Source organism: Homo sapiens, chromosome 8 (genome assembly GCF_000001405.40).
Source record: "Homo sapiens chromosome 8, GRCh38.p14 Primary Assembly".
Taxonomy (NCBI): domain Eukaryota; kingdom Metazoa; phylum Chordata; class Mammalia; order Primates; family Hominidae; genus Homo; species Homo sapiens.
In genome coordinates, this window is record NC_000008.11 from 10,486,886 (window position 1) to 10,507,044 (window position 20,159).

Consider the following 20,159-nt stretch of genomic DNA (forward strand, 5'->3'; position numbering starts at 1 on the left):
CGGATCTTCCCATAGGTCCTACCAGCCAGAAGCAGCATGCCTGATTGATAGAACAGTGGAATGGCCCAATGAAGGTTATGCAACTGAGCCTGTTGAGATCTCATGACATGTGAGGATGGAGTGCTCTTTTACAAAGTACTGTGTCTATTATGAAGCACATTCAATAGGAGCTGATTCTTGTATGGCCAGAATACTTGGGTTTGGGAACCAAGGGATAAGAGTGGGACTGGCTTCATTTACTATTGCACGTAGTGATCCACACCCAATAAAGTTCTGCTTCTTACCACTGCAACTTTGAGCTCTGGAAGTTTAGAGACCTTAGTTCCCAAGGGAAGAATGTCTCTACCAGGGAATACGATGGTTTATTGCATGGAGAGTTGAGACTGCCACCTGGACATTTGGAGTTCATTACACCACTAAGCCAATAGGCAAAGGGGAAGGTTAGTGTCCTGGCTGAGAAGACTGACCCCTAATATCAAAGAACAGAGATTTGCTCCACACATGGGGACAAGGAGGAATATGTCTGAAATCCATTACATCCTTTGAAGATGCTCTTTCTATTTCATTGTCCAAAGGGAGAAATCAGTGGAAAACTACAGCAACGCCATACAGGAAAAACCATCAAGTGCTCAGAAATGAATGGTCACCCCAACAAATAAAGAACAACGATCAGCTGAGGTTCAAATTGGAAGAAGGCCAACTGTGGCCTCAGGATCAGTTGCAGACTTGAGAACAATCGCAGCGGCCTGGATTTTCATGATGTTTTATGTATTTGTATATACCAATTTCTGTTTTTTCCTTCTTTTCCCCAAGTGTTCACATTGGTTACATTTATTACTGATCTTTAGGATATAAGATTGTGGTGGCCATGGAGGTGTACCACCCAGATCTACTTCAAAAGAACCTGCTGTGGGAAGCATAGTTGATGACGGCCTTCAGCTACTGCTCCTCCAGATCCATCATAGCTGTCACACTAACACTGCATTTCTACGGAGTATACCCAGCCAATGGCTGAGAGTGGCAGGGTTCAACTTTTCTTGAACCATTACTGCTCAACCTGGCACCCTTTGCTCAGGAATTCTCATCAACCTGGTCCAGACTTACTCAGACTTGCAATGGGGTCTGAAGATGCTCTGCCTCCTCCTGTTCCCAAGATCCTTTATCCTTGCCAGGCATTTCCACCAATAAATCTCTTTCATGTATAAGTCAGTCTTGGCATCGGCTCTTGGAGGACCCAAACTGACGGGGATGTGAAGCTGAGATTGTGATTAAACAATCTCACTCAAAGATGGATATGATGATTTTATGAGACTTTTCAGAGAGGAACAGAGTGTTCTGTTTGCATAGAGAATAGTCACATTGTGTTAGGAGCATGCTGTTACTATTCTTGTTTTCTAGAAATTTTAATAAGGTTGTGTGCATACAGTGAGCAGCCAAAGTGGTAGGCTTCCTAGATCGTGTCTCAATAGGCACTGAAATCCAATTCCCCTAAATCCTAATTCCATTTTTCTGTGTCATGTTGCAGCTGCCTCACTCTAGTATTCTGGATGTGATTTGGGGTCCAGTGAGATGCACTGACTAATATCTGCAGTGTACAATGCAGGCAGCAGCAGCGCCAGCTAAAGCTGAGCTCTGGTAGAGTTGGATTGGATGTTTACAGTGACCTACCTCTTCAGTGTGATATTTCCTCACGGTCATCAGCTACAGGCTGTGAGACAGCCTGGGGGAGACAGGATAGCCATGTTTCCCACTACCTCCCAACCACTGGCTGGTGCACCAGCCTCCTGGCCTTAGGTCGCAGCCACAGTGACGTGACCTCCTACAATCCCTGGCAAGCTGGAGGAGCAGCCCTGCAACCAAGCCTGCTCTAAGAAAAGGCTTTCTGTTTACTAACCTGGAGCTGCTCTATTCTTTCACCCTTGTTCCCCTTTCAGCTGTCTCGCGCAAGTACTAATTTTGCCATTAAATACGCATTTTGTTTTGCAAAATGAGAAGAGCTTATAAATACTTCAAATTTTCTCCGTCTGTTTCACTCCTTTCCATTTCTTTCTAAAATTACAGTAAAATATTAACTATACAAAATATTGTTGTATTTATACAAAACAACAATACCATAAAATAAAACACTACATAGTTGAAGCCCTCTGAGGATCTCTCCATTTCTTCCAGCCATAACGAATACCCTGAACTTTACGTTTCTTTTCCCTTTGCGGTTGCTTAATTTTTCTACATCTGAATATATCCTTACACGTTTTCAAAATTTATAGAAATATCCCACTGAATACATTTTTCTGTAACTTGCCTTTGCACTGCATTGTGAGATTCAGCTATGTTGATCTGTTTAACTCCAGCTGATGTATGTAATGATCCCTGATGATTATTCTGCCGTTTGACTATACCAAAATTTATTCAGGTCTCTGATAATGAGCATTTAGATTGGTTTGTTTTCCATTTATGAATTTAGCAATTATGTGTTTCTAATTTTTTGTTATTATAAACTATGGTGCTACGAATATTCCTGTATATGCCACCTTCAAAATTGTAAAATTTCAACTGTTTTAAAATACAGTCATGTCAGGATACATTCTGAGAAATGTATCATTGGGCAATTTCATTGCTAGGCACACATCAATGTATGCAAATCTAGATGGCATAGCCTACTACACACCTAGACCACATGGCGTGGTGTGTTGCTCTGACCACCATCATATATGTAGTTCGTCATTGACCAAAATGGCATTCTCCGGCACGTCTGTATTAAAATTTTTTAGTGGAAAACCAGTTTTTAAAATCTGTTTTACATGAATGATAGTTTTTAGTGTCAACAATTTAAATATGGCAGTTATTTTTTCTCAGCACATTGGTGGTATTATTCCAACATCTTTTAGCTTCCCTTGCTGCCGTTGAGAAGTCTGTTGATTTCATACTCCGCTGTAAGTAATCCATTTTTTCCTCGCATATGCTAATTTTGAGATCTTCTCTGCCTTTATTGTTTTGCCATTTCACTAAAATATGTTTAGAGATATATAAATTCTGCTTGGACTCTATTGTGCTTCCAGAATTGGAAGATCAATGTCTTTCATTAATTATGGAACATTCTTGGTCATGGACTCATTGAATGAATGTTTCCTTTTCTCCATTATTTCTATTCTTTTCTTCTGAAACTTCAGTAGTCATATGTTAGTCCTTTTAACTCCATCTGCCTTGTTTCGTAACTTCTCTCTCATGTTTTCCCATACTGCTTTTTAGCATCCTGAGCAATATTCAGATCCATCTCCTGGTTTACTATTTTTATTTCCATAAATTTCACTGGATTCTTTTTCAATTCTGCCTGGCCATTTTTTGATGGTATTTTGTTTTCAGTCTCATTTTAAGTTTCTTCCTTTTAAAGAATATTTTATACATAATTATTTATATTTACTATCTAATAATTTAAATGTCTGAACTCTGGGTGTGTAATCTTCTCTCCTGCTCTTTTTCATGATGGTTTGTTTTCCGTTTATGAATTTAGCAGTTGAATGTTTTGTACTCACGTTTGGCCAAACTTAATTCGTGGAAATCTGTGGGAGACTGTAAAAATATCAGTGGTTGCCAGGGTATAGATGAACAAGTGAAGCACTGAGGATTTTTAGGCAGGGAAGCCACTCTGTGTGATTACTACAATGGTGGCCACATGTCATCATACACCCATGAAAACCCATAGCATGTGCAATGCAAACAGTGAATCCTAACATAAACTCTAGATTCTAGTTAATCATAATGCATCACTATTGGCTTATTAATTGTAATGTGCCACACTAATGCAAGATATTAAAATAGAAATTGGGAGGAGGTGGGGCATATGGGAATCCATTGTATAATACTTTACTTTATGCTCAGTTTTTTTATAAACCTGTAACTGTCAAAAGCCTATTCATTTTTTTAAATGTAGAGATAAAAAAAAAAACAAAAAAAAGTTAACCTTTGTGATTTGGACTTAAACAGGGAACCCTATCTCAGGGTCATGAGAGAAAAGAACCAAGTGTCTCCTTCTGTGAACTGAAGGGCATCAAGAAGAGTGGCGTTTTAGTGGCATAGGGGAAGTCACTTTCTTTTGCCATCTAAAGTTTCAGGGTACATGTGCAGGTTTGTTACATATGTATACATGTGCCATGTTGGTGTGCTGCACCCATTAACTCTTCATTTAACATTAGGTTTATCTCCTAATGCTATCCCTCCCCCCTCCCCCCACCCCACAACAGGCCCCAGTGTGTGATGTTCCCCTTCCTGTGTCCATGTGATCTCATTGCTCAATTCCCACCTATGAGTGAGAACAAGTGGTGTTTGGTTTTTTGTCCTTGCAATAGTTTGCTGAGAGTGATGGTGTCCAGCTTCATCCATGTCCCTACAAAGGACATGAACTCATCATTTTTTATGGCTGCATCGTATTCCATGGTGTATATGTACCACATTTTCTTTTTTTTAATTTTATTATTATTGTACTTCAAGTTTTAGGGTACATGTGCACAATGTTCAGGTTACATATGTATACATGTGCCATGTTGGTGTGCTGCACCCATTAACTCGTCATTTAGCATTAGGTATATCTCCTAATGGTATCCCTTCCCTCTCCCCCTACCCCACAACAGTCCCCAGTGTGTGATGTTCCCCTTCCTGTGTCCATGTGTTCTCATTGTTCAATTCCCACCTATGAGTGAGAACATGTGGTGTTTGGTTTTTTGTCCTGGTGACAGTTTGCTGAGAATGATGGTTTCCAGTTTCATCCATGTGCCTACAAAGGACATGAACTCATCATTTTTTATGGCTGCATAGTATTCCATGGCGTATATGTGCCACATTTTCTTAATCCAGTCTATCATTGTTGGACATTTAGGTTGGTTCCAAGACTTTGCTATTGTGAATAGTGCCGCAATAAACATACGTGTGCATGTGTCTTTATAGCAGCATGATTTATAGTCCTTTGGGTATATACCCAGTAAAGGGATGGCTGGGTCAAATGGTATTTCTAGTTCTAGATCCCTGAGGAATCGCCACACTGACTTCCACAATGGTCGAACTAGTTTACAGTCCCACCAAGAGTGTAAAAGTGTTCCTGTTTCTCCACATCCTCTCCAACACCTGTTGTTGCCTGACTTTTTAATGATCGGCATTCTAACTGGTGTGAGATGGTATCTCATTGTGGTTTTGATTTGCATTTCTCTGATGGCCAGTGATGATGAGCATTTTTTCATGTGTCTTTTGGCTCCATAAATGTCTTCTTTTGAGAAGGGACTGTTCATATCCTTCACCCACTTTTTGATGGGTTGTTTGATTTTTTATTGTAAATTTGTCTGAGTTCATTATAGATTCTGGATATTAGCCCTTTGTCAGATGAGTAGGCTGCAAAAATTTTCTCCCATTCTGTAGGTTGCCTGTTCACTCTGATGGTAGTTTGTGTTGCTGTGCAGAAGCTCTTTAGTTTACTCGGATCCCATTTGTCAATTTTGGCTTTTGTTGCCATTGCTTTTGGTGTTTTAGACATGAAGTCCTTGCCCATGCCTATGTCCTGAATGGTATTGCCTAGGTTTTCTTCTAGGGTTTTTATGGTTTATCCATCTTGAATGAATTTTTGTATAAGGTGTAAGGAAGGGATCCAGTTTCTGCTTTCTACATATGGCTAGCCAGTTTTCCCAGCACCATTTATTAAATAGGGAATCCTTTCCCCATTGCTTGTTTTTATCAGGTTTGTCAAAGATCAGATGGTTGTAGATAAGCGGCATTATTTCTGACGGCTCTGTTCTGTTCCATTGATCTATATCTCTGTTTTGGTACCAGTACAATGCTGTTTTGGTGACTGTAGCCTTGTAGTATAGTTTGAAGTCAGGTAGCGTGATGCCTCCGGTTTTGTTCTTTTGGCTTACGATTGACTTGGCAATGCAGGCTCTTTTTTGGTTCCATATGAACTTTAAAGTAGTTTTTTCCAATTCTGTGAAGAAAGTCATTGGTAGCTTGATGGGGATGGCATTGAATCCATAAATTACCTTGGGCAGTATGGACACTTTCATGATATTGATTCTTCCTTCCCATGAGCATGGAATGTTCTTCCATTTGTTTGTATCCTCTCTTATTTCATTAAGCAGTGGTTTGTAGTTCTCCTTGAAGAGGTCCTTCACATCCCTTGTAAGTTGGATTCCTAAAAGTATTTTATTCTCTTTGAAGCAATTGTGAATGGGAGTTCACTCATGATTTGGCTCTCTGTTTGTCTGTTATTGGTGTATAAGAATGCTTGTGATTTTTGTACATTGATTTTGTATCCTGAGACTTTGCTGAGTTGCTAATCAGCTTAAGGAGATTTTGGGCTGAGACAATGGGGTTTTCTAGATATACAATCATGTCATCTGCAAACAGGAACAATTTGACTTCCTCTTTTCCTAATTGAATACCCTTTATTTCCTTCCTGATTGCCCCGATTGCCTTGCCTGATTACCCCGGCCAGAACTTCCAACACTATGTTGAATAGGAGTGGTGAGAGAGGGCATCCCTGTCTTGTGCCAGTTTTCAAAGGGAATGCTTCCAGTTTTTGCCCATTCAGTATGATATTGCCTGTGGGTTTGTCACAGGTAGCTCTTATTATTTTGAGATACGTCCCATCAATACCTAATTTATTGAGAGTTTGTAGCATGAAGGGTTGTTGAATTTTGTCAAAGGCCTTTTCTGCATCTACTGAGATAATCATGTGGTTTTTGTCTTTGGTTCGGTTTATATGCTGGATTGTTTATTGATTTGCATATGTTAAACCAGCCTTGCATCCCAGGGATGAAGCCCACCTGATCATGGTGGATAAGCTTTTTGATGTGTTGCTGGGTTTGGTTTGCCATTATTTTATTGAGGATTTTTGCATCAATGTTCATCAAGGATATTGGTCTAAAATTATCTTTTTTTGTTGTGTGTCTGCCAGGCTTTGGTATCAGGATAATGCTGGCCTCATAAAATGAGTTAGGGAGGATTCCCTCTTTTTCTATTGATTGGAATAGTTTCAGAAGGAATGGTACCAGCTCCTCCTTGTACCTCTGGTAGAATTCAGCTGTGAATCCATGTGGTTCTGGACTTTTTTTGGTGGGTAAGCCGTTAAACTTCAAAGAGGGAAGTCCTGTATTTCATGTTGTTCCCAGTAGTCCAAGAGATGGGACCATGACACTGTTGATGGTTAATTTAATGTGTCCAACTTGGCCATGCTCTGGTGCCCAGTTGTTTGTTTGAGCAGCAGTGTAGATGTTGCTCTGAAGGCTATTTTTAGACGTGATTAACATTTGAATCAGTAGACCTTGAGGAAAGCAGAGTGCCCTCCATGTGTGAGTTGGCCTCATCCAATCAGATGAAGGTCTTAGGAGAAAGGATTTAAGTCCCCCAAAGAAGAAATTTTTCCCCTAGATGGCCTTCGGACTTGATACTGCACCATCACCTCTTCCTTGGGTCTCCAGTTTACCTGCCTTCCCCACAGATTTAGACTTGCTAGCCCCCACAATCACATGGGCCAGTTGTTTGAAATAAATCCCTGTCTCTTGACATATATGTAATGAAAGGAAACTATCCATAAATAAATGATATGTATTTAGAAATAAAACAATATATATTTTTATATACTTACGTATATATAAAATTATGTATGTATACAGACACGTGCATACATACATAGGTAAGTATACAGACGCATATACATACATAAGTATATGTATACATGTATGTATACAAGTTCAGTTGGCCCTCCATATCCATGGTTTCTGCATCTGTGGATTCAACCAACCTCAGATAGAAAATATTTGGAAAAAATATGGATGGCTGTATCTGTACTGAATATGCACGAACTTTTTAAAAATTATTATCCTTGAACAATACAGTGTAACAACTGTTTACATAGCATTGACATTGTATTCGGCACTATAAGTAATCTAGAGAAGATTTAAAGTGTATGGAAGGATTGCATAGGGTATATACAAATACTGTTTTATATGAGGAACTTGAGCATCCATGGATTTTCGTATCCAAGAAGGGTCCTGGAACCAATTTCCCACAGATACCAAGGGACAACTGCATTTATATAATGAAACTAATTACTAATTGCGAGGGGACCCTATGAGAAGAGGCACAAATTTGGCTGTGACATATACATTAGATGTCATGAACCACCCATACCATCTACATTCCTGTATCTTTCCAGTGCCTGTTTCACAAAGTATCTGAATGAATGAATGAATGAATGAGCAGCTGAATGTCTTTCTTTTTTATGGGGCCACATATGATTGTCTCCTTTGTAGCTATGCCAGGTAGACATAACCAAGAAAGGACCTCCCAGAAAACTACCACCAGTCCCTGACTGTCCTTCATGGCACCAATCTTTAAATAAACATGGTCTCTTAGTTTTCTAAAAACAAATTCTTATCACTTATATTTCAGTCTGGCCACACAAGCTATTTTGTTGCCACTCAGTGAAAAGATGTGCTGCTTTCTCATCTGGAATTTTTATCCTTTCTCACTGGCTGGATGATGACTTTGGCGACTGGCAGTGGGCCTCACTCAGTGACCCACATATGTGGAGAGGGCAGATGTTGCCACTTCCTCCAATCCACCTCATTATACTTTTTATTTGAATAATTAAGGATAGAGAAAGGATGGTGTGGTCTATAAGTAGCAAGCCATAATCTCCCCATGTTCAAGTTCAAACTGGACAAAAGACCCCTGATCCTAACTCTACCGGAGACTTTCTTTCATGGATGGCCCAGGAGATGAAAGAATTTGCACCTCAGATGGGGGTTCCCTGTGTGTGCGTCCGTATCATGCACTGAACTGACGGAATTAGAGTGGGGCAATGATGATGAGGTAATATTGCCTTCCATGACAGAAATAAGTTATTAAGCGTCACAGAATGTTGGTGTGATGAAAGACCTTACAGTTCATCTAATGGAATCTGCTTTTTCATGGACAAGGAAACTGAGATCAAGAAACGTAAGTCATTTCCCAACGTTGAGTTTCCAATGCTTTCCTGAAACCGTCCTTCTTTGTTGGAGGTTATTGTTTTCCTCCGGGAGGCCCCATGCACTGCTCGTGCCTCTTTTTAGCACTGTGTTTAACATTCCTTCATTAGACTGTGAGATTTGGGAGAAGTGAGTCCATGTCTAACTTCTGGGGGCTGGTGTAGATGCTACCCCACAGCACATGCTCCACAGATGCTTGTGGGAGAATGGAAAGGAAGAGAGGAGAGAGAAGAAAGAGAAGGAAAAAGGGTGGGTCCAAAGCTTAGCAGTTAGGTTTATCAACGGTAAACATGGTGGCCAGCAGCATTTGAGACCCCAATCCTAGCAAGAAGGGGTACTGAGGAACACACACCAGTGAGCTTCTCGGCTTCTCGTGGATCCTGAGATTATGGTGTAGGCTTTCCCCTCCTTTTCTGTCTCCTCCTGGCTTCATGGAATAAATTGAGCCACAGACACAAACATACCAGGTCTCCCCCTGGAGCCAGATCTTATGCCCCCACTGAAGACACCCACTTGGAAGAGTCTCTGGGTTCCATAAATAGCACAAACCAGAGGTGCCCCACTGTCTCCCTGGGAATGAGGAAAGGAAGAACAGTCTGCAGTCAATGGCACCTCCAGCAGGAACAGGGAGGGGAAAATGGGAGGGTCCTAGTGGTGTAGGCTAGGGCCCCCCCATTTGGGAACCTAGAAAGTGAGGGGGTACCTGGAGGGAGGAGGAGGCTGGGCAGGGGTGAGTACCTTGAAGATACCATTGGTGCCTGGTTCGTTCCAAGCACAAATCATGTTCCTGGACAGCTGGTTTATCCTCTTGGCACATTCTTTCCGGCTAATCTGCACCACTCTCAGCTTTTCCAGGTGCATGTTTAAGTCATCATATTGGTCTGACAAAGGGAGAAAGCTGGTGTGAGAGTGAGCACTGCATCAGCCGGCAACAGTGAACAGCCCACACGCGATCAGCGTGGAAGCCTGGGAGGCCACCAACGTCCAGCAGATGACAAATTCACAGGGCATAGAGGCCTGGGATGACTTCAGTCTCCACTCCAACAGCCCCAACAAGAAGTTCCTCCACTAAATGTGCTTCCTGTGGGAAGCTCACTCTCTCCAGAAACAGCCCACAAAAGCCCCAGCCTGGAATGAAGGTCCTCCCTGGCCCCACCATCTCTTCACAGCCAGGCTTTGCCCCATGCAGAGGATCAGAGCAGCCCAACCTTTGAATTGGTGTTGTCCAGTGTCTTCACCAACCCAAATGGAGAACCCAAAAAGAAGACACATCTGGTCATGCCACCTTGTAGGAAGGAACTGACCACAATGCCAGGGGCACTCTTGGCCTTCTCCCCCCAACACTCCCACCCTCCCAGAGATCTTCCCTGGCCAGGCAGCCTGGTGCCTTGCAGGGAAAAGGATGGAGCTTGGTTGGAGAATCACTGGCTCAGAGCTATCTTGGGATGGTGTTTTACATGGGGTGGCCAATAGATGGGGAGATGGCCATCGTGAAAGAGCCACAGGCGGGAAGATGCAAACTGGCTTATCATGCTTTTGGCACCACAAAAATTATCATCGCTCTCATATTTTGAGATTCTTCTATGTCCTAGGCTTTTACTGGGGACCTCATTTAATTTAATCCCCATACCTTTTTGAGGAGGTGTTCCTGGCATTCTGCAGATGAGAAAACTGAAGGTGAGGAAGGTGAAGGAGCTCAAGAGAGTTAAAACCACAGTTCAGACCCAAGCATTACCGCACCCAAAGCATCATGCTCTCTAGCCTAGGGTACCCTACATTGGGGCTTTCTATGAGTTCTGAAAAGAGGGCACGTACCATACCCATTGGTCGTTACCCACTGTGCCATCCAACACCAGTCCCAGGTCCTCTCCTCCTCCTGCAGGCAGACAGGCATTTTGAAATTGCTGAATTGCACTGGTGTGGCAAGTAGAAGCAGAGAGAGGTCACTGTCGAGCTGGGGCGGTTTGTAATCTTTGTGAATAATGACCTTCTGCACTTGCTTTCTCTCCGAGTGGATGTTGCTGAATGTTCTCGTTCCCATGACCACAGTGACATTTACCACGGCCATGTCTAATCTAAAGAACGAATATAAAAACACCAGTGCTAACAAGGGTGACTGATAGTGCAATTCACATTTGTAGACACATCTGTAAACAGTGAGTTGACAACTAAGGAGAAGTCCAGTGCAGTGGGTGAGCTACAGTGGTCTGGAGCATGGCTAGGATCAGATAGGTAGGAATCAGGGGCCCAAGCTCTGACAAATCTCTGAACCAATGGGTTGACAGTCCAGGGAAACTCTCCTGACCAAAAGAAGAGGAATGAATCCCTCTGAGAGATGAGATTGTAAGCTCCTTGATGACAGGGACCTTGGCAGTGTTGTCAACTCCTATGTCCACAGCACTTGGAACAGTACATAGTAGGTGCTCAGCGGGAAGGTGTTCAATCAATGATTCCAGTGTGTTGTCTTCATACACAGATGACAGGCAGGACAGAGTGTATTGGATGTACTGGGTGCATAGCTCTGACTACAGCCCACATTTGGATATGATTGGCTAAATAAAGGGGAGGGAGTGGGTGTACAGCAGAGACCCTGGGGTACAAAGCCCATGCAACATTTTGCACATAGAACCTAGGGCTTCATAGGCCTGTGCACTGGCCTACTGAGCTGCCTAGCCCAGACAATACATTGACAAGACGGGATGTAGATGAAGACACTTACAGGGTTCTTCGGAAGCAGTGTGCGGCTGTCAGAACCCACCACCAATGTAAGATTGAGCCTCCACAGAGGTGTTTCCGTGACATCTGGATACTCACTTGCCACGGGCACTCACCATTCTGGACTTGAAGCCGTTCATGAAATGGTAACCATGACGAGTTTGGAAAAGCAGGCCTGTGGCCACATTGTACGTTTTCTGAAAGAGAAAGGAAAGAGCCATTTGTACATGAGAAGCATGGAGAGATCCCTATCCCTTAATCCCAGAATCTTCCCAAGTAAGACCAGTGTTGAAAGCTGAGCAAGGTAGCACCAACAGCAAACAGGCCGAGGAGAGGGAGAGCTCAGAAAACACCAGCAACCTGCACCTTTTTCCGTGTTCATTCTTCACAGCCGCAGAGAGCTGAGAGACCTGGTAAACTTTGAGCAGGGCTCTTTCAGAGGCATATAGGGTTAGAGTGGCCATGGAGATGCACCAAAGGTACACAGGGTCCACTTACGAGATGGAAGCTGTGCAGTGATTTGAACAAGGAAAGTTTAACAGGAAGAATCACACACTGTAACTGGGGAGCGACTACGAAGCATCAGGAGCACTCTAAGATACAGCAGGGCAGGAGGAGAGTATCTGAGGAGGAGCCGAACTTGGCAGGGGAGCCTCTCCCCCTCCCCAGGAGTGGGACTCACAACACATTGAAGAAGGTGTCTGCAGCCCAGCAGAAGGCAGAGACATTTGCCGGGTTGCCCGGGGCCAGAGCTGATCCCCTTTGCTAGAGAAGCAGAATACACCTCTCGGGAGTTCAGGTGGCCAGGAAACGGTGGCCATGACTGGCAACAAGGAACACCCCTCTGGAGCGCAGGTGGACTGGTGCACCACACAGGTGCCTGCCCACTGGCTAGGGAGGGTGCAAGACCTGGGTGTGTGTGTCTGTCTGTCTTGGGACAGCTGCACTGAAAAGGTGTAGAGGGCTCGGGGGATTTCGAGGCTGATCCAAGAAAAAGATATGATCACGAGGTGGTGGCAGCATACACAGGTTTCATTTGAGAAATGCTTTGGGAGGTTGCATGTGGGGGAAGAAGCCCTTTACAGCCTGAGACTATCTGGAGGTTAAGGAGACACCATCCAGAAGAGGAAGAGGACAAGGGGACTTCTGAGGAAAGAGGACTCTGACAGGGGTTACTCGTCTAGGTGATGTGGTTCACTGGCACAGTGGGGAGTCTCTGGGTCAGAGAGCTCTCAAGGGCAGCAATGGCTTGGGGTCTTTTATAGCCACAGGCTTCATATTACCTGTGGCTAGCAGATGTTGGGTGCAGTTTCACAGGGTATGCAAAGCAGACAAGCTTTAGATGGCTAAATATCTGTTTATTTAGACTATGTTCAAAAACAGCTGGATGTGTAAAACATTGAGTTTGGGACCAGCAGGCTTTTGAGCTAATGAGAAGCCTGCTGTGAAGAAATTGACAAGCTAAGGGCCATCCTTGGCTCATTTGTGGAACAGGTCACTGAACAGAAGACAGGGCTCGAGCTCACTGAGAGAGGCATGGCAGAGCCGAGCAACACCAGGTGTTCCCCACATGCTGGTGGCAACCACGCCATAGGAGCAAGAAGCAGCAAACAGAAGCATGCTGGAGAGGACCAGGAAGAAAGGCCCCTTCCACCTGCAGTATCCTTCCAGCACCTACTGCTGAGAATGCTTAATGTTGTGCTTGCTACGAAGAAAAATTTCTTACAGGGTCCAGCTGCATTACTGCCAACCCAGTTTACAGGGATCCAAAGAAGGCCTGTAGGGGGTTGGGGCGCAAAAAAGACATGCAGAGTAAAGGACATGGTCACTGTGGCCACCAGTCTCCAGCAAGTATCCATGCCCGGAAGGACTCCTGGAAATAGCCCAGGAAAATGAGAAGCAAATAGAGACTTGGCACAGGCATAATAAATGTGTATTCTTTTTTAAAGGAACAGGGATGGGAAAAAAACAGCAACATTTACTAGATGAAACTCTAAATAGGAAAATGTTACCCAGAACAAATAAAAAAATCTGAGTAGTATATTTTGCCATAAATCATAAAAAATAAAACCTTATAAAGCAATCACCTATGTGAAAGAAGATTATAAATTAGAAACTCAAGGAAGACTTTGTAAGAAAACACGAGGAGAAAGTGAGAAAAAGGAGGAGATGGGGCATGAGCTGGCAGAAGTCGGGCTAGAAACAGAAGAATAAAATACAGAAAATTCTTTGGACAGCATAGTAAGGGATAAGGAGTATGTAAATTAGAGAAGCAATGCAAATCAAAGCAGAGTTTAAAAGAGAGATTTTTGTGTGAATGTAATTTTTAATTTTGGGGGGATAAATACCTAGATAGATAGGGACTGCTAGGTCATGTGGTCAGTGCACGCTCAACCTTTTACAAAACTGCCCAGTTGCTTTCCACATGGCTGCACCATTTTGCATTCCCATCAACAATGGATAAGAACTCCGGCTGGGTGCAGTGGCTCACGCCTATAATCCCAGCACTTTGGGAGGCCGAGGCAGTTGGATCAACTGAGGTCAGGAGTTTGAGACAAGGCGGACTAACATGGTGAAACCCTGTCTCTACTAAAAATACAAAAATTAGCTGGGCATGGTAGCATGGGCCTGTAGTCCCAGCTGCTTGGGATGCTGAGGCAGGAGGCAGGAGAATCACTTGAACCCAGGAGGCAAAGGTTGCAGTGAGCCAAGATCACACCACTGCACTCCAGCCTGGGAGACAGAGCAAGACTCTAAGACTCTGTCTCAAAAAAAAAAAAAAAAAAAAAAAAAAAAAAAAAAAAAAACAGTGGATAAGAGTTCCTATCACTTTACATCTTTACATCCTTGCCAACACTCGGTACTATCAGAAGTTTTTATTTTACCCACTGTAGCAGACACACAGGAATATTTATTGTGGGATTGTTCACAATCCTCCAAACTGCAAATACCCAAATATCCCTCAATGGGTGAATGGATAAGAGAACTGTAATCTATCCACATGGTGGAATACCACCCAGGAATAAAAAGGAACTATTGGCGCATGCAACAACAGAGAAGTCTCAAGTGCATTATGCTAAGTCAGAGAACCCAGGCTGAGAAGGTCACATACTGTGTAGGGTTATATTTATATGGCATTCTGGACAAGGCAAAACTCTGGGTGTGGATAACAGGTCAGTGGCTGCCAGGAGTTGGGGGTCGGGGAGGGGTGAGTACAAAGGAGCAGATAGAGGGGATTCTTGGGAGTACTAAAAATTTCAATATCTTGTCTAAAAGTGAGGTTAACATGAATCTTTGTAAAAATAATTAGAAAAATGATAGCTAGAGAATATGGGCAATGATTGTTCTTGAATTTTAAATGACACATAAAAATAGGAATAGATGAGCATTTCCCTAACATGATAAAGTGTATCTACCTTGGCCCGCAAGTGAGTAGCATGCTGACTGGGGAAAAGCTGGAAGCCTCCCCACGGAGTCAAGAACAGCACAGATGTCCACTACCTCTGCTACTTGTTACCATTGTACGGGCAGCTAGGAGGAGATGGTGATAGATTTTGAGCAGAGGGAGCCCAGAGGATCCCTCCGCACACAGGAGGGGAGTGAGACAGGGCTTCCATCTAGAAGAGTCTATGAGGGGCCAGGCGCGGTGGCTTACGCCTGTCATCCCAGCATTTTTGAGATGCCCGGCAGGCAGATCATATGAGGCCAGGAGTTCAAGACCAGCCTGGCCAACATGGTGAAACCCCATCTCTACTGAAAATACAAAAATTAGCCAGTCATGGTGGTGGGCACCTGTAGTCCCAGCTACTTGAGAGACTGAAGCAGGAGAATTGCTTGAACCCGGGAGGAAGAGGTTGCAGTGAGCAGAGATCGCGCCACTGCACTCTAGCCTGGGTGACACAGCAAGATTCTGTTTAAAAAAAAAAAAAAAAAGAGTCTCTGACTGGGCCAGGGATAGTTGGAGGTATAGTCATGGGTCGCTTAAAAATAGTGTTGGAAGTTCTGGCCAGGGCAATTAGGCAGGAGAAGGAAATAAAGGGTATTCAATAAGGAAAAGAGGAAGTCAAATTGTCCCTGTTTGCAGATGACATGATTGTATATCTAGAAAACCCCATTGTCTCAGCCCAAAATCTCCTTAAGCTGATAAGCAACTTCAGCAAAGTCTCAGGATACAAAATCAATGTACAAAAATCACAAGCATTCTTATACACCAATAACAGACAAACAGAGAGCCAAATCATGAATGAACTCCCATTCACAATTGCTTCAAAGAGAATAAAACACCTAGGAATCCAACTTACAAGGGACGTGAAGGACCTCTTCAAGGAGAACTAGAAACCACTGCTTAATGAAATAAAAGAGGATACAAACAAATGGAAGAACATTCCATGCTCATGGGTAGGAAGAATCAATATCGTGAAAATGTCCATACTGCCCAAGGTAATTTATAGATTCAATGCCATCCCCATCAAGCTACCAATGACTTTCTTCACAGAATTGGAAAAAACTACTTTAAAGTTCATATGGAACCAAAAAAGAGCCCACATTGCCAAGTCAATCCTAAGCCAAAAGAACAAAGCCGGAGGCATCACGCTACCTAACTTCAAACTATACTACAAGGCTACAGTCACCAAAACAGCATCGTACTGGTACCAAAACAGAGATGTAGATCAATGGAACAGAACAGAGCCCTCAGAAATAATGCCGCTTATCTACAACCATCTGATCTTTGACAAACCTGATAAAAACAAGCAATGGGGAAAGGATTCCCTATTTAATAAATGGTGCTGGGAAAACTGGCTAGCCATATGTAGAAAGCTGAAACTGGATCCCTTCCTTACACCTTATACAAAAATTAAGATGGATTAAAAACTTACATGTTAGACCTAAAACCATAAAAACCCTAGAAGAAAACCTAGGCAATACCATTCAGGACATAGGCATGGGCAAGGACTTCATGTCTAAAATACCATAAGCAATGGCAACAAAAGCCAAAATTGACAAATGGGATCTAATTAAACTCAAGAGCTTCTGCACAGCAAAAGAAACTATCATCAGAGTGAACAGGCAACCTACAAAATGGGAGAAAATTTTCGCAACCTACTCATCTGACAAAGGGCTAATATCCAGAATCTACAATGAACTCAAACAGATTTACAAGAAAAAAACAAACAAACCCATCACAAAGTGGGCGAAGGATATGAACAGACACTTCTCAAAAGAAGACATTTATGCAGCCAAAACACACATGAAAAAATGCTCATCATCACTGGCCATCAGAGAAATGCAAATCAAAACCACAGTGAGATACCATCTCACACCAGTTAGAATGCCGATCACTAAAAAGTCAGGAAACAACAGGTGCTGGAGAGGATGTGGAGAAATAGGAACACTTTTACACTGTTGGTGGGACTGTACACTAGTTCAACCATTGTGGAAGTCAGTGTGGCGATTCCTCAGGGATCTAGAACTAGAAATACCATTTGACCCAGCCATCCCATTACTGGGTATATACCCAAAGGATTATAAATCATGCTGCTATAAAGACACATGCACACGTATGTTTATTGCGGCACTATTCACGATAGCAAAGACTTGGAACCAACCCAAATGTCCAACAACGATAGACTGGATTAAGAAAATGTGGCACATATACACCATGGAATACTATGCAGCCATAAAAAATGATGAGTTCATGTCCTTTGTAGGGACATGGATGAAAATGGAAACCATCATTCTCAGCAAACTATCGCCAGGACAAAAAACCAAACACCACATGTTCTCACTCACAGGTGGGAATTGAACAATGAGAACACATGGACACAGGAAGGGGAACATCACACTCTGGGGCCTGTTGTGGGGTGGGGGGAGGGGGGAGGGATAGCATTAGGAGATATACCTAATGCTAAATGACGAGTTAATGGGTGCAGCACACCAGCATGGCACATGTATACGTATGTAGCAAACCTGCACATAGTGCACATGTACCCTAAAACTTAAACTATAATAATAATAAAATAATAAAAAGAAAAATTCCAAACACCATTTATCAAAGATTATCTCCCTCCTCACAAATCTGAATTGTCTCCTTGAAAATAGCTTTATATTATTATATATAATCACATTTTATCTATCGTAAGGGCAATGTCTATATCAGATTAAGAATAACTGACAAGAGAATTTGCCTGTTAACACTCTGTGTTGCACCAATATGATGGAACAAACTGCTAGGCACTTGATTACTTTCTAATAACAAAATTCTCAATTGCTTTACCTGCTCTGAGATTTAAATATAATGCATATCCCACATGGTTAGCACAGTGTCTAACACTAAGCTCAAAAAGCATTTACTAAAATGAACTAAATTATGGCAAGGCTGACAGAAAGCCCCATGAGAAGAAAGACGTTTTAAACACAAGAAGGTGGAAGGTTCTTCCAAGTAATGAGAAAAGTTAAGTGGTAACAGGAGAATTTTACAAGAAACACACAACTAAAAAGTACAGATTTCATAAACTCTCTTCTTACCAATTACTATGTAAATATTACTGATTTTCAAGTAACTCCCCTTATAGTTAAGGTTAGTTTACACTTTCAGTAATGACAAAAATCACACTGACAAAATATACTTTAATTCTCATTCTTCATTAACTAACACATACTTAGTTCTTCATTGAAAAACTCTCATCTCTATTATGACATGAGAATGTTTCATTCATAAATGAAAATTGGTGACCCTAAGTTTCAAACTCCAAGACATTATGACTACATTCAGTGTTTTCAAAGGAATCTTAATTTCAACTTTGTTCATTAAAATTTGTGAATCGATGGCCTGAGGAAATTTTCAGTAGAAATATGTTAAATTCAGTAAGGCATTATTTAGAGAACATGTATAATTTTCATTAAGCTGAACAGTGAAAAGATGAGATGCTATTTTATATTGGCCTCTGATATGGTTTGGCTTTGTGAACCCACCCAAATCTTATCTTGAATTGTAATACCGTAATCCCCACGTGTCATGGGAGGAACCCCGTAAGAGGTAACTGAATCAGAGTGAGTTCTCCCAAGATCTGATGGTTTCATAAGCATCTGGCATTTCCCCTGGTGGCACTCATTCTCTCTCCTGCTGCCCTGTGAAGAGGTGCCTTTCACCATGATTATAAGTTTCCTGAGGTTTCCCCAGCCACACAGAACTGTGAATCAGTTAAACCTCTTTTCTTTATGAATTAACCAGTCCTGGGTGTTTCTTCATAGCAGTGCAAGAATGGACTAATACAGCCTCAAAATATGAATTTATCAGGAAAACATTCTTCATTTCAAATAACATCTAATCAGTGAAATCCCTATCAAATAAACGTATTTCATATTTTTTAGTCCAAAGTCAATATTGTTACCATCTCTCTCCTCTTCCTCTCCCTATGAAAAAAAAGACCTTCCAACTTTCATATTCTCAATAGGTAAGGCAATCTCTTGATTATGAATTTAATATATAAGACTCTTAAATATGTTTAGGCATATTATATCTTTTTAATAAGAACAGCTGGTTGACAAGTAAACAGTAATCATAGGGAAAGGCAAGTCTTTCAAGTTTGAAACCAAATTCCATTAACACAGAAAAATAAGAGGCATTCACAGGAAGGAAGTTTTTAAGGTCAGGTGATTCCTATTATTAGCCAGAGGAGGATGAAAATCTGATGGTGGCTCCTGACACTGAAAAGTGGGTATGGAGATACATGATCCTTTGTAGGGTTGATGTAGTTAAACAAAAAGTGATATTTTCTTGGAGCAGATCATCTGTGATTGTCACAGAGGTTTTCAAAACTTAATAATCCTCAAACAGTAACCAGGTCTATTGATCCAGGTTGGCAGGGAGGGCAGGGAGGAGTTTGGGACAAAAAAGAGATAACTAACATTCACTGAGACAAGTATTATTAGCCCATCTTACAAATATGAAAACTTTGGTTTGAAGATTTCAAGGAACAGGAAAAATTACACTGCTAACTGGAAGACGTATCAGGGTTTAAACACAAATTTATCTTCTTCCAAACATTATCCCCTCTGTACAATACCACATCAACAAATGCTTCTGTCAGAAGAAATCTATGAAGTCATATATAGAAAATTATAGGATAATATAACCTAGGTGATATTTTCGTATCTCCTACGCATTGAACGTAATGATACTGCACAATAAACACAAATATGGCAGAGAAAAAAAATGGGATACATTCTGAGAAATGTGGGGTTAAAGGCAAGCATCATAGAGTGAACTTACATACAGCTAGATGGTGTAGCCTGCTCACACCTAGGCTGTATGGCATAGCCGATCGCTCCTAGGCTACAAAACCATACAGCAAGTTACTGTACTGAATATTGTAGGCAACTGTAACACGATGGTATTTGTGTATCTAAACATAGAGAAGGTACAGTAAAAAT

At 42.0% G+C, this 20,159-nt stretch overlaps 1 protein-coding gene across 6 annotated transcripts in view; it reads right to left on the reverse strand.

Moving 5' to 3' along the window:
- Window positions 1–20,159, reverse strand: part of PRSS51 (serine protease 51) — a 66,431-nt gene that overhangs the window by 5,593 nt on the left and 40,679 nt on the right. For 2 of the 6 annotated variants that reach the window (XR_007060819.1, XR_007060818.1), the window contains exons 2-3: window positions 11,731–11,923; window positions 10,827–11,086 (exon numbers count right to left, since the gene is read on the reverse strand). Coding sequence is in view for 2 of the 6 variants with exons in the window: in XM_047422509.1 (XP_047278465.1) it covers window positions 9,441–9,581; window positions 9,750–9,892; window positions 10,827–11,086; window positions 11,731–11,923 (737 nt within the window). In the remaining 4 variants the exon portion in view is untranslated. Of the gene's footprint in view, window positions 1–7,706; window positions 9,582–9,749; window positions 9,893–10,826; window positions 11,087–11,730; window positions 11,924–20,159 lie in introns of those variants that run through there. The other 4 variants (XM_047422510.1, XM_047422509.1, XR_007060817.1 and 1 more) reach the window with 4 other exon arrangements.